At 57.3% G+C, this 12405-nt stretch overlaps 1 protein-coding gene across 3 annotated transcripts in view, besides 3 other annotated features; it reads left to right on the top strand.

Annotated features, from left to right (window-relative positions):
- Positions 1 to 12405, top strand: part of COL5A1 (collagen type V alpha 1 chain) — a 203041-nt gene that overhangs the window by 46115 nt on the left and 144521 nt on the right. For all 3 annotated transcript variants that reach the window (NM_000093.5, XM_017014266.3, NM_001278074.1), the window contains exons 2-3: positions 2995 to 3162; positions 11992 to 12205. In NM_000093.5, coding sequence (NP_000084.3) covers positions 2995 to 3162; positions 11992 to 12205 — 382 coding nt within the window. The remainder of the gene's footprint in view (positions 1 to 2994; positions 3163 to 11991; positions 12206 to 12405) is intronic.
- Positions 873 to 1663: an enhancer, noted in NCBI's record as "H3K4me1 hESC enhancer chr9:137580636-137581426 (GRCh37/hg19 assembly coordinates)". NCBI's record gives its function as "activates a minimal SCP1, AML or CMV promoter by ChIP-STARR-seq in primed H9 embryonic stem cells {active_cell/tissue: H9 hESC(primed)}" and the evidence as "EXISTENCE:reporter gene assay evidence [ECO:0000049][PMID:30033119]".
- Positions 9951 to 10775: an enhancer, noted in NCBI's record as "H3K4me1 hESC enhancer chr9:137589714-137590538 (GRCh37/hg19 assembly coordinates)". NCBI's record gives its function as "activates a minimal SCP1, AML or CMV promoter by ChIP-STARR-seq in naive and primed H9 embryonic stem cells {active_cell/tissue: H9 hESC(naive and primed)}" and the evidence as "EXISTENCE:reporter gene assay evidence [ECO:0000049][PMID:30033119]".
- Positions 10776 to 11598: an enhancer, noted in NCBI's record as "H3K4me1 hESC enhancer chr9:137590539-137591361 (GRCh37/hg19 assembly coordinates)". NCBI's record gives its function as "activates a minimal SCP1, AML or CMV promoter by ChIP-STARR-seq in naive and primed H9 embryonic stem cells {active_cell/tissue: H9 hESC(naive and primed)}" and the evidence as "EXISTENCE:reporter gene assay evidence [ECO:0000049][PMID:30033119]".

The following is a 12405-nucleotide window of genomic DNA, read 5'->3' on the forward strand; positions in this document are numbered from 1 at the left end:
GCCACTGGCTTCAAACCCATGTCCACCTGTCCCCAAAGCTTGTGCTGTGTCCAAGTGGAGTTTTCATCCTGATGGAGGCTGGAAGAAAAGCTCCTGAAAGGCTGTGCGCCAGGCTCCTCCTGGGCTCTCCCCAACCTTTTCTTTTTCAAAAAGTACTTAATGTTTTCCTCTGCTCTGGCACAGGAAGCCCCTGGCCAGCAGGAGGGGTGGCACTAGGCCTGGGAAAGGTCTGGTGGCCTCTTAAACTTGTTGCAACAGAGATCTGCGAACATGTCCACCAAGCCTGCTGGAAAACAGCTCTTGCCTTCAGCAATGGAGAAAACAGGCTTGCGAGCCTGAGTCTGGGAAGAGCATCACGGGCTTGTTATGGTGTGAGTCCAGGAAGCCCCGGCCGGGATCCTTGCTCCCCTGCCCCGGCCGCTGCCAGTGCTGGAATTGAGTCTTAGGGATGACCCAGGGCTCGGCACTGTGTCATCTTCAGCAGGTGGACCGGCAGCTGGCGCATCCTCTCTTTCCACGGGCTGCATCCAGGCCCAGGGCTGCGCGGTGCAGCCTCACCAGGCACTGGCACTCAGCGTTTCTTCTCAAGTCAAAGGCAAAAGCCCACCAAAGCCTTCTTTGCTGGGGCCAGGTGGGAGGTGCCATACATGCCCGAGGGGGTGACAGAGCTGGGTGGGCTGTGCCCTGCTTGGCAGCCGAAAGCCACCCAGGAAAACAGAGAGGCCATGAGAGGCCTGGACGTGGGGTGTTCTGGGTCCCTGTGCCGCCCCTCCCCTTTGTCACTGTTCCCACGCCGCAGTGGGAAATCCTCAGCTTCTCCATGTTTCTGGCTTCTTGATTTAATTGGCAGAGGACTGCAGCAAAGCCAAGCTGTAGAAATGACACCGTCAGAGGCAGGGACTTCAGAACCCTGGGACCTGGGTACTGTGGAGCCTTCCAGAGAACTGTGGATGGGGAGGGGCTTCATGAATGAGAAATGCGGCTTCGATTTCCCTCCACCCTGGTCTCCTTCAGAGCCCTGCCCAGGCTGCTGTCTTCCCTGCACTGTCAGCTGGTCATGGCGGGGGTGGGGGTGGCACAGGTTCCTGTCTGTACCTCCTTGTGGCCTGCGCACCAAGCACAGTGCCCGCGCTGAGTCCCCTGGAGGGACAGGGAGTGCTGGGGAGACAGAGTCCTCCGTCTGGGTGCTCCTCTTGCTGAGGGCCTGCTGGGACAAGCAGTGACACTGCGCCATTGTCTCTGGCAGCCACCTCCTCCCGTGGCAGTGCCGAGGCTGCAGGTGCCCCTGGCTGCAGGAGTCCTTGAAAACCAGCAGAGAGGAAACCTGCGTGGCCATCCCATCTCACCTCCAAACCTTCTGCCCTTGGGAAAAAGGTGGGACTTTCCTCTTGAGCCCGTCGCAGGCTGATCACCATTCCTCCCTGGGGAGGAGGGCCAGGCCAGAGAGCGGGGAACTGATAGCTGAGGAGGCCCACACCACTGCACCCAGAGATGGGCACTGTTTAGTAGCAGATGTTGGGATCTAACTCCAATTGGCATTAGCATAAAGAGGGATACACCGGTTTCTGTCAGGCACAGCTTGATCCAGCTACTCAAACAGTGTGGCCAGTCTGTCTCTCTGCATCCTCAGGCAAGCACTCTCCACCTGCTCAGGAGACAGTTGCCAGCAGCTCCAGGTTCCTGTTCTGTGTTTGGAGCCAGCAGAGCAGGGAGGATTCCTCTTTCTCAAAGGAAAAAAGCCCCAGGACGGAGCTTCCTTATCCTGGCTGGTCTCACGTCCATCCCTGAGCTGACCGTCTGGGACAGGGCGGTGTCATGCTCTGATTGGCCAGCAGAGGGGGCACGGCCAACCCCGTCCACATCTACTGGGCAGGGCAGTTGCCGGCTGCTGGGTTCCTCCAACTCCCAGGCCGCCCCAACACACACCATTCTGTCGCTGTGATGCCAACTTCGAGTTTATTTTCTCTGCCGGGACTCCCAGGGAGCCTCTTGCTCGTGGGCACAGGAGCAGTGCTTTTCCCATAAAACTGACCTTGTTCAGGGCAGGTTCCTGGATTCGCGCCTTGTGGTGGATGCAGGTCTGGGGTCCTCGTGGTGTGGGGGAAGGAGGCTCTGGCAGATGGGGCCGTCTTTTGTGTTGGAGGGTGACCATTGAGCTCCCTGGTAATGATCACGGCTTCAGTGGCCAGAGGTCAGCTTATCCCCTTGCCCTTCCCTGAGAGCCCCTGGATAGAGGGTCAGGAACCTTCTGGAAGGGATGCGGGGGCTGCCCCTCCCTTGTTCTTGGCTCTGCATGGTCTGGCGATGTGGGCAGGGGTCTTCCAGGGCAATGGAAACTGCACACCCGCTGTAAACGGTCATGGGAAGGCGACAGACAGTCCAGGTGGATAATGACGGGGGGATAAACTAGGCCAGTGACATCCCCGTGACCTCTGGAGGGGCCTCAGGTGGGGTGAAGGTTCTCAGGGCTGCAGGGCAGATGTTGTGACCCACCGGTTCTCCTGTGTCATTGCACAGCACACCATAAGGCGGTCAGCTCCGCAGTGGGCCTTCTGTGGCCTTCCAGCATCTGCCTGGGCTGCTCTCCTTACGTGGCCAATGAGAAGAGGTGTCTGGGAGGCTGGGTGTGTGGCCCCTGCCAGCCTCAGGAGCCACGAGAGCGCAGTGAGGAAGGAGGGCGTCGTCAGAGCTGGGCTAGCCCGGGTCTGCCCCTGGTGTGTGGCCGCTGGTGGGGACAGGGATGGGACCCTCTGGGCTAGCCTGGGTCTGCCCCCGGTATGTGGCTGCTGGTGGGGACAAGGATGGGACCCTCCTCCGCAGCGTGGTGCCCTGCCTCGCCCAGCACGCGGCTCTAAGCTGGTCCTGGGGCTCTTCTGAGTGCCCAGGATTCACAGTGGTGGGGGTGGGGGTGCTTCCTGTCATCCCAGCTTCCGGGTGTTCCCAGGTGCTCCTTTCCTCTCCGTGGCTAACTCTGCTCCTCCTCTGTCATTTCAGCTCAGCCAGCAGATCTCCTGAAGGTTCTAGATTTTCACAACTTGCCTGATGGAATAACAAAGACAACAGGCTTTTGCGCCACGCGGCGATCTTCCAAAGGCCCGGATGTCGCTTACAGAGTCACCAAAGACGCGCAGCTCAGCGCACCCACCAAGCAGCTGTACCCTGGTAAGTGCCGCACCCTTCTGTTTGGGGCGGTGGGTCCCGTTGGCCCTCTGGCCTCCAGCCAGGAGCAGCGCTCAAGCCTGCGTGGTGGCAGAAGCGGGCTCAGCTTTCCAGGAAGCCCCTCTCACGAGCCCGGCTTCGTTTCACTGTAGTGAAAAGGCAGTTGCAACAGTGGGATTTTGTCCTTCTGGACGGGACTGGGCTTTGTCACTGTCCTTCTCTGCTGGATGTGGGTGGGTGGGTGTGGCCCAGTGCCCTTGACCTTCTATCAGCTGTGTCTCTGGTGGTAGCTGGGCCGCCAGGACTCCAAGGGCAGAAAGAGTCGGATGGGTCCTGAGGGATGAGGTTGAGAGAAACCTCGGGGTCGTGGGAAAGGAAGCACTTCCAGACAGAAGCTTAACCAGGGGCAGTGACATTAAGAGACGATGAATCAAACGTCGTGACTCCTAGCAAGAGCATGGGAGGCTTTTAATGAGAGTCAACTGCTAAATGCCGGGTCTCTGCTTTTAATTACATGCCCGGAGCGGGAAGCAGCATTAGCTCTAAGATACAGCATCCAAGTTGTCCCTGTCACCCAGTCGTGGGGCGGCACCTGCCACAGTTAATTAAACCCTCTGGGCTTATCTGGACGTGATTAACGAGCTGTTGATGGAGAACCTCATCGCCTTGACCCAGCCACTTGCTCATGGCCTGGACTAAAATGAGCTCCTCTTTCTGATTCAGATGAGAAAGGGACGGGGGATGTAGGGCAGGTGAGTTCACTTTATGAGATGCTCTGTAATTATTAGAAGACAGCGCAGCATCTTTTTGGTGGACCTGGAGGTGACCCCGGCATTGAACCCACGATCAGGGCAGTCTTTGAATGCTCCGTGGTGTTTCTGATGATCGTGTCCCCACGGGGCCCCTGAAGGACACCCTCTTTTGAGGGGCTGTTTCTGCTTCCACAGACGTGCTCTCTGTACACTCATCCCCAGCCATTGCCCAGCCCTCCTTTACATCCATGTGACCTTGAAGAGTTTGTCTCTGAGAGAATCTGGGCAGTTCTTTTCAAGAATGTTTTTGAGAACGAGTTATTTCAAGAAACACCTTCGAGGCACCGAGTCTCTGCCTTGCAGCTTGGTGGAGGTGAGGTGAAGTGGCCTGGGACCCCTGGCAGCCCATATTCTCTTAAACAGCCCACCTCTGGGTACCAGAGTGGCCCTGGGCTGTGGATCCCCAGCCTCAAGCGTGTGGAACTCATCGGCTCAGACAGCCTGTCCCCGCAAAGGACTGCAGCGGTTTCGTTTCTCCAGGCCTCTGGAGGAGCGTTCATAAGCTTCTGGGAGAGCATCTCTTTTGGAATTAGCCATGGAATCCTCACTTGGACCTTGGCCCAGAAATTGCACCCTTTTCTGCCCCATGACCCCCGGTTTAGAATTCGTGACCTAGAGATCCTGGGAGGGCTGGTCCAGGGAAGGGCTTAGAGAGCTGATTGCCGAGGACCACATGGACTCTGGGTGTGTGACACGCTGAGGGGCACCCTGGGAAGTAAGCGCTCCTGCTTTCCAAGGGGATCTTCAGCCACTTTGTTTAATCTTCTCTGTGTCACCCAATTCTGGGGTGTGGGCACCACACACTCACTGGACTTTGTCCTTCTCTGCTGGATTATCTTGTGGCCAGAAATATTACAGTATCTCAGGAATACGGGCTAATTATTGGATAAATAATCTAGGATCAGCTGGGCGCGGTGGCTCACCCTGTAATCCCAGCACTTTGGGAGGCTGAGGCAGGCGGATCACTTAAGGTCAGGAGTTTGAGACCAGCCTGGCCAACATAGTGAAACTCCATCTCTACCAAAAATACAAAAATTAGCTGGACGTGGTGGTGCGCGCCTGTAATCCCAGCTATTCGGGAGGCTGAGGCAGGAGAATCACTTGAACCTGGGAGGCGGAGGTTGCAGTGAGCTGAGATCGCACCACTGCACTCCAGCCTGGGTGAGAGTGAGAATATGTCAAAAACAAAAAAAAAGGAAAAGAAAGAAATGGCTTGGCCTTCCAGCAGTTTCTGCATAGCAGGCTCTCTGTGCCTCTCTCAGCAGGGACCCCATCCCTGAGCAGGGCTCTTATCTACAGATCAGTTGGTTTCCATGTCTGTTTCCGGCTTTTAACCAGATGCTAGGTGAGCGAGGTTACCGTGACACAGTGAAGCAGTGAGCCGAGATCGCGCCATTGCACTCCAGCCTGGGCAACGGAGTGAGTGAGACTGTCTCAAACAAAACAAAACAAACAAAAAAACCAACACATAATCTAGGGTAAATTTCTGAATAGTCTGCGGGATTTTTTTTTAAGTCCATGTTTTTTTAAGTTTTCCAAAGTGCTTCACTTGCTCTTCCAGAGCCTTCTGTGAATTAGCTTACAGAGTAGAGTGGGTCCACATAAGCCAATTGCCCCATTCATGGCAGATGAAGCTGGAGGTTGCTTGGGAAGTATTGAAGCAGGGCTGTCTACGGAGTCCCTTCTGCAGGTCCCAAAGTGTTGGGTTGGGACCTGCAGAGGTCCCAAGGGACACTGTTGGAGACCAGTGTCATAGGACATCATTTGCCTTTGAATTGACGCCATACCCCGCCTCGCCCCTTCCGCCCGGCCCTCCGAGCAAACTCGCCACCTGTCCTCTGTTGCTCGGACTCTGTCCACCCCACTTGGCTTGTGGGCCCCTCAGTGGAGGGACTCAGAAGCTCACTTCAGGTTTTCTGTTTGAGAAGTGCTCAGTGTGTAGGGGCCACACACAGGAAAGGGCTGTTTGCTTGGGACCGACACGGTCTCGCGCCAGCCACTCGTGTGGGTCAGCCTAAGCGCTAGGGGAGCTGGAGCTGCACCATGCCCTGTCTCGGGGAGCAGCAGCATCTGCGGGATTCTAGAGACCCGTACCTGCCTGGCAGTTGTAGAGGTAGAAGAGAGGGTGCAGCCCAGGTGGCCACGGCAAGGCCTGGGCTGTGGGGAACTGAGTGGAGCAAAAACAGTATCTGTAAGTATCTCTTGGCGAGAGGGGAAGCCCGCATCCAGGCAGCTGTTTCCCCGGCATCCGATCCCCTGACAAAATCCCTGAGCAGGCTCCCCAGACTCCCCGAAGAGCTCACACACCCCTCGGCAAATCAGCAGCCAAGTGGCCCTGGATCACGGGGGTGGGGGTTTGGAGACTGAGCTGAGCAGGTGACTGGGAGCCTCCACCTGGGTGCAGTGCCCGTCCCCGCCCAGGCCGCACAGGCGTTGACCTCTGCCCTCCACCCACACTGGCACCACCTGGTCCTGTATCCCCCACTGGGCACGAACTGGCAGAGTGATCTGGGTGCCAGGGAGACACAGCCATGAATAGAACAGATGGAGCCCGGCCTCCTCTGGCCTGGGAGAGCGAGGTTCCCTAGGCCACCCTCCTCAGGGGCACCGCCCTCCCTTCTGTACAGGGGAAGAATCCTGTTCCCATTTTCTGCACTTGGGGGCAGGACAGAGGCTAGAATTTCCCCCCTCATTCGAAGAGGGTTTTCTAGTCTTGCTGAGACCCAGCAGTCTGGGTTCTGGGATCTGTCCGACCAGGGAGCTCAACCCTGAGCCACGGTTGCTGACCGATCATGGGTGCTGGGTTGTCCTGGCACCAGGGAGATGAGGCTGCAGGGACTGAAGCCCAGGACTGTGACACAGGGGCTGCCAGTGAAGCGGGGAGGGTTGGGACTTCCTTCCCAGTGGGGTCCCAGGCCTCGGTCCCCTGTGTCTGCAGTGCAGACATCGCCTCACGGTGAGGTGGCCTGAGACCCTGAAGGCAGCGGGCCTGGCTTCCTCACCAGGCGGCCCGAGCTCTGGGATCCACGTCCCCACTGGGGGCCCGGGATGGTGTGCTCCCTGCCTTGTTGACCCAGCACTGCTTGTTTGTAATGACCCAGATCTGAGCTGTCCCCTCTGAGGATGACCAGGCGAGGCAGTGTCCCCCCTGGTCACCTGACTTGGGGACCAGCCCCACCTGAGCCCACTTCCTGGATCAGCACGCATCCTCCTCCTCGGCTCTGGTGCTGTGGGTGGGGTCCTCTCTATTTTGTCCTCTGTAGGTGCCTTTTCCTCCGTACCCCTCTTCAGACCAGGCCTCTGAGATTTGCCTCCTACTCAGGACACCCAGGGTTGGGTGGAGGCCACGGCTCTGCCCACACCCCCCTGCCCCTTGGCCAACACCCTGTCTTCGCCTGTGGCTCTCCTGCACCCTGGGGCCTGGGCTCCAGAATCAGCCTCCCTTAGGCAGAATGTCCTGCTGCCCCTCGCTGCCCCCGCCAGTACCTTCCTGCCAGAGAGCAAGGGAGCAGCCAGTTGCGCTGGGCCCTGGGACCCTCCACAGGATTGCGCTGAGTGCTGGACGAGGGTGGCAGGGACGGCCGAACAGGGTGCCAGCTGCAGGGGCAGGCTGACGTGAGGGGAAGATGGAGGCAGCGGTGGGAGGGTAGTGTCCTCAGCCTGGGGGCTTTGCAGACCCTCTACTCACTGAGCAGATGCTCCCCACTCCCCTGTACCCCCATAGAGCAGGATAGGGGTTCCCTGATGGCTGAGAGGAGGGGGGTCCCATGAAATAAGATGCGGGGTTCCCACCTGGGAATCTACCTGGTGAGACTGGAGACCGTCTCTTCCTCACTCTATCTTCGACCCCATGGGTTAGTCCAGCCCAGGGAATGTAAACTTCACTTCTGGCCATGACAAATGCAGTAAGTTTGGGTCCAGGCCAGAAGGTTCCAGAACCAAGTTATCCCTGCAGGGGCTGCCAGATGGCAGCTTCCTCTCTGGAGCCCCTCACCTGTCCCACCCCAATGTGGGACTGAGAGCCCTTCTGGTCGGGACTGAAGATGGCTGGTGAAATTCCTTCTGCAGGGCTGCCTCGGTGCCCCTGGATCCTGGGCCTCTGCCCTGGGCCTGCCATGCTCCCCTTAGCCCGGCCCCTCCTGGGCTGCCAGGGTCCAGCTGAAACCTCAGCCGCCCCCCAGGTTCCTGGCCCCCTGTCCAAAGTTAGCCACACCCCGCATTCATTTCCTATCCTCTGACCTCTTTCTGCCACCCTGCCCCACTGCCCCCTGCATTATTTGCAATTATTATTATTATTATTATTGAGACAGAGTCTCACTCTGTCGCCCAGGCTGGAGTGCAGTGGTGTAATCTTGGCTCACGGCAACCTCTGCCTCCCAGGTTCAAGCGATTCTCCTGCCTCAGCCCCCCGAGTAGTTGGGATTACAGGTGTGTGCCACCACACCCGGCTAATTTTTTTTATATTTTTGGCAGAGACAGGGATTCACCATGTTGGCCAGGCTGGTGTGGAACTCCTGACCTCAAGTGATCCTCCTGCCTTGGCCTCCCAAAGTGCTGGGATTACAGGCATGAACCACCTCGCCCAGCCTGCAATTATTTAACTAACTGGTTTGGTTTGATGATTTCTGTTTGTATCGTGGGAGTATCACTTTCTGAGGTCAGGGACCATATCTGTCCTTTGACTGTGTCACCCCAGCGCCTGGCACCAATCACTGTTTATTAGGGGATCAGTCACTGTTTATTGATCACGTGATCCACTGTAGTGAGCAATCGGTATGCTTAGTAACTGTCGGCTCAGTATGATTTAGTTTCAACACAAATGCATTTATTGTACTCCTACTGCATACCTAAAATGCTCTAGTGCCTTTGGACTTCAGCAGAAGTAAAAGTGAAAAGCTCTGGCCGGGCGGGGTGGCTCACACCTGTAATCCCAGCACTTTGGGAGGCCAAGGCAGGCGGATCACGAGGTCAGGAGATCGAGACCATCCTGGCTAACACGGTGAAACCCCATCCCTACTAAAAATACAAAAAAATTAGCCAGGCTTGGTGGCGGGTGCCTGTAGTCCCAGCTACTCGGGAGGCTGAGGCAGGAGAATGGCGTGAACCCGGGAGGCGGAGCTTGCAGTGAGCTGAGATCACGCCACTGCACTCCAGCCTGGGCAACAGAGTGAGACTCTGTCTTAAAAAAAAAAAAATGAAAAGCTCTGAGGGAGTCCGGAGCCCACCCCTCAACTGTGACTTTTCTTGGAGAAATGAAACATGAAGTGTTCGACAGCCGATTCCCTCCTCCCAGAGTGCCCGGACAGCGTAGATTATAAAGTATCAGCGTCCCAGCTCATGTCATGACTCGAATGGGCCATCTCACAGTGACAATAAATCCATTGTTATTTTGCCAGGAGAGAGATTAATGTTAAACATAATTTATCCTTTCGGGTTTTATCTGAGCTGAGAAAATTTGTTACCATAGAGATTTCAAAACTTGAGAAACGGCATTTTAATGAGCTGCGGAGATGGGGGTTCGTGGGCCTAGCGGTGCCTTGTGCCGGAGACATGAGTGTGCGCAACTCGTTCTTTGATCTTTTAAGACGGAAGAATGACTCTGGCACTCAGGGTGGCGGTGGGGTGGGGACGGGAGCCAGGTGGCCCTTTGCAATGAGAGTGAGGGAGTGGACTCAGATGGTGACTGTGCCATCTGCCCTGGGTGTGGACGGGGACCTGAGTGCTTCAGGTGAGACCCCACCTGGCCCTCAGTGCCCCATGCACTCCCAGGGATCACGTGGGGCTGCCATGGTCCTGCTGGCAGCCTTGCCATATGGGGTCCCTACGGTGGGTGGGCATGGCAGGTCCCACTCCCTTGCCATAGGTGGGACCAGCTAAGGCTGTCATCTCCAGAGTCCCCCGCCCACATCCCCTCATGTGGAAGGATGATGCAAAGCCATAATCGCAGCAGTTTGGGAGGCCAAGGCGGGTGGATCACCTGAGGTCAGGAGTTCGAGACCAGCCTGACCAACATGGTGAAACCCCGTCTCTACCAAAAATACAAAAATTAATCAGGCGTGGTGGTGTGGACCTGTAGTCCCAGCTACTTGGGAGGCTGAGGCAAGAGAATTACTTGAACCTGGGAGGTGGAGGTTGCAGTGAGCCGAGATCTCACCACTGCACTCCAACCTGGGCGACAGAACGAGACTCTATCTCAAAAAAACCCCACAAAAAAACCCAAAAAAACAAAGCTGATGGCTTGTGTCTAGACATGGGAGTCCTGAGCCAGTTCCTCCGTGAAACCTGCCTTTCCCAGATGGCCACACTGACTGTCATCACCCCCACCTGGGGCTGTCCCCAGCTTTGGGGGCAGGTGCCTTGGCCAGGCCCACCTGGGGCCCAGTCTCCTGTGGGAACAGCTGAGTCATGGCTTGGAGCTGGTCAACACAGGGTGCCCGGCCACAGCTGGGCAGCCCTGTTCCCTGTCAGTGCCTTAGTGAGAGATTCGTGACTGCAGGATGAGCCTGCTGCTGTGGCAGCTTCCAGCGCTCACGCAGGCTCTGGGTTGGCCTGTGGGGGCCTTGGAGGGTTTGCCTGGAGTAGTGGCCCCTCATTTTGCAGAACCTCAGGAGATCTCCCTGCAGCACCTTACAGAGGATGCAGAGGCTGTGACAGGCAGCATTCTCCTCCCCCTTGGAAGCCTCAGGATGCTGTGGGACGAGGGGGCCTTCAGCGTCCCCTTCCTCCCAGTGTTGTACCTGCAGCTGTGCTGGAGTGACCAGGGGCAGAGGTGGTGACGCTGCTGCCCGCCTTGCCACAATTTCGCCAGCAGAGGGTGCTCATGGATAGCCGCCTTGCAGGCGCTGCTGCCGCAGATCCAGACTCTGCTGCCCCATGGGGTCAGGGGCCTCTGGGCCACCTGGTTAGCCTTTGTTCCCACTTCTAAAGAAGGGGTGGGTCTGGTAATGGATTCACGATGGCTCAAGCCCACCCACCAGATCCCAGCCCTCCGTAGTGGTGCTGCTTGTGGGGCGGCTCCAGCAGCAGGTCCTGGGCCCCCCTTCCTTGGCATGTCCCTGTTGACACCCTCCTGGGACACCGCTCCTTCTGGCCCGTTCTGAGCAGCCCACAGCCTTAGGCCCAGCACTTTTGGCTGGCCCACCGGCATCAACTAGCCACAGGCCCTCCATCAGCCCCAGGCTCTTGGCAGAACTGCAGGTGGCCCAGGGTGAGAGCATCGCTGCCTTTGCCACCAGGATCGATGGACAGGAGGGGCTGGGGCTCCCGGTCATGCCCACGGATGAGGGGCAGATATGTGGAGTGGGCTTAGGTGCTTGTGGCCGGGCCAGCCTGGGTCTGCCTTTTAATGACCTCAAATTGCTCCTGGCATGTGTTGTAAGAGGTAATTCCTCCCGTTAACATACTAGGGATATATTTTTTTCTAATTTTAAATTTGGATTAAATTCTTTTGATGAATTTCCACTTTTTCTCTGTTTTGCGTATCAACCAGGAAATGTCACAAAGTACAATTCTAGTGGCGGTTCGAGGCTGTTGCTTCCCTTCTCCCTTCCTCTCTCTGCTTCCTCCCTCCGTCTCTCTCCCTCCCTCCCCCTCCCTCCCTCCCTTCCTTGCATGCTGAGTGGTGTGACCTCATGGAGCGTACTAAGACACCTCAGAAGCAGCCTCCATCCAGAGGCAGCTCACAGCCTGAGAGGTTCTCCTGAGGGTCAACACACAGATGTGTTAGGCGCAGGAGCTGAGGGCAGGGTGTTGAGGGCTCCCAGCTGGAAGGACCAGTTGTGTTTCATGGAGGAGTTTGCATTTGCACTGAGTCTTGAAGGGGGCAGGTTTGGCCAAGTGGGAGCAGGGAAGGGCTGCAGGAGCAGTTTGATCAAGGGGCAGATGTGCAGCAGATGGCAGTGCCCCACGACGGGCAGCACAGCTTCCCAGGGTCCCGGGCTGGCTTGTTTGCAGAGAGCCATGGCTGGGTGTGGTTGCAGGGGCTCCCCGACTGCCTTCTCACCTCTGTGCTCTGTTCCAGCGTCTGCATTTCCCGAGGACTTCTCCATCCTAACAACTGTGAAAGCCAAGAAAGGCAGCCAGGCCTTCCTGGTCTCCATCTACAACGAGCAGGGTATCCAGCAGATTGGGCTGGAGCTGGGCCGCTCTCCCGTCTTCCTCTACGAGGACCACACGGGGAAGCCTGGCCCGGAAGACTACCCCCTCTTCCGGGGCATCAACCTGTCAGATGGCAAGTAAGTGGGCACTTCTGGGCAACTGTCCCCCTGCTGGAGGGGGGATCAGGCCAGCTCATACCACTGACCAGATGTGGGGCACAGTAGAGGACGTGCAGCAGCCGGTACTGAGACTCCCACAGACGCCGCAGCAGAGGAGAGGGTGCTGGGCTTGGAGTCCTGAAACCTGGGTTATGGTCTTGATTCATCCTCTGTGGCTC

The sequence above is a fragment of the Homo sapiens genome, chromosome 9 (assembly GCF_000001405.40).
Source record: "Homo sapiens chromosome 9, GRCh38.p14 Primary Assembly".
NCBI classification, from domain to species: Eukaryota; Metazoa; Chordata; class Mammalia; order Primates; family Hominidae; genus Homo; species Homo sapiens.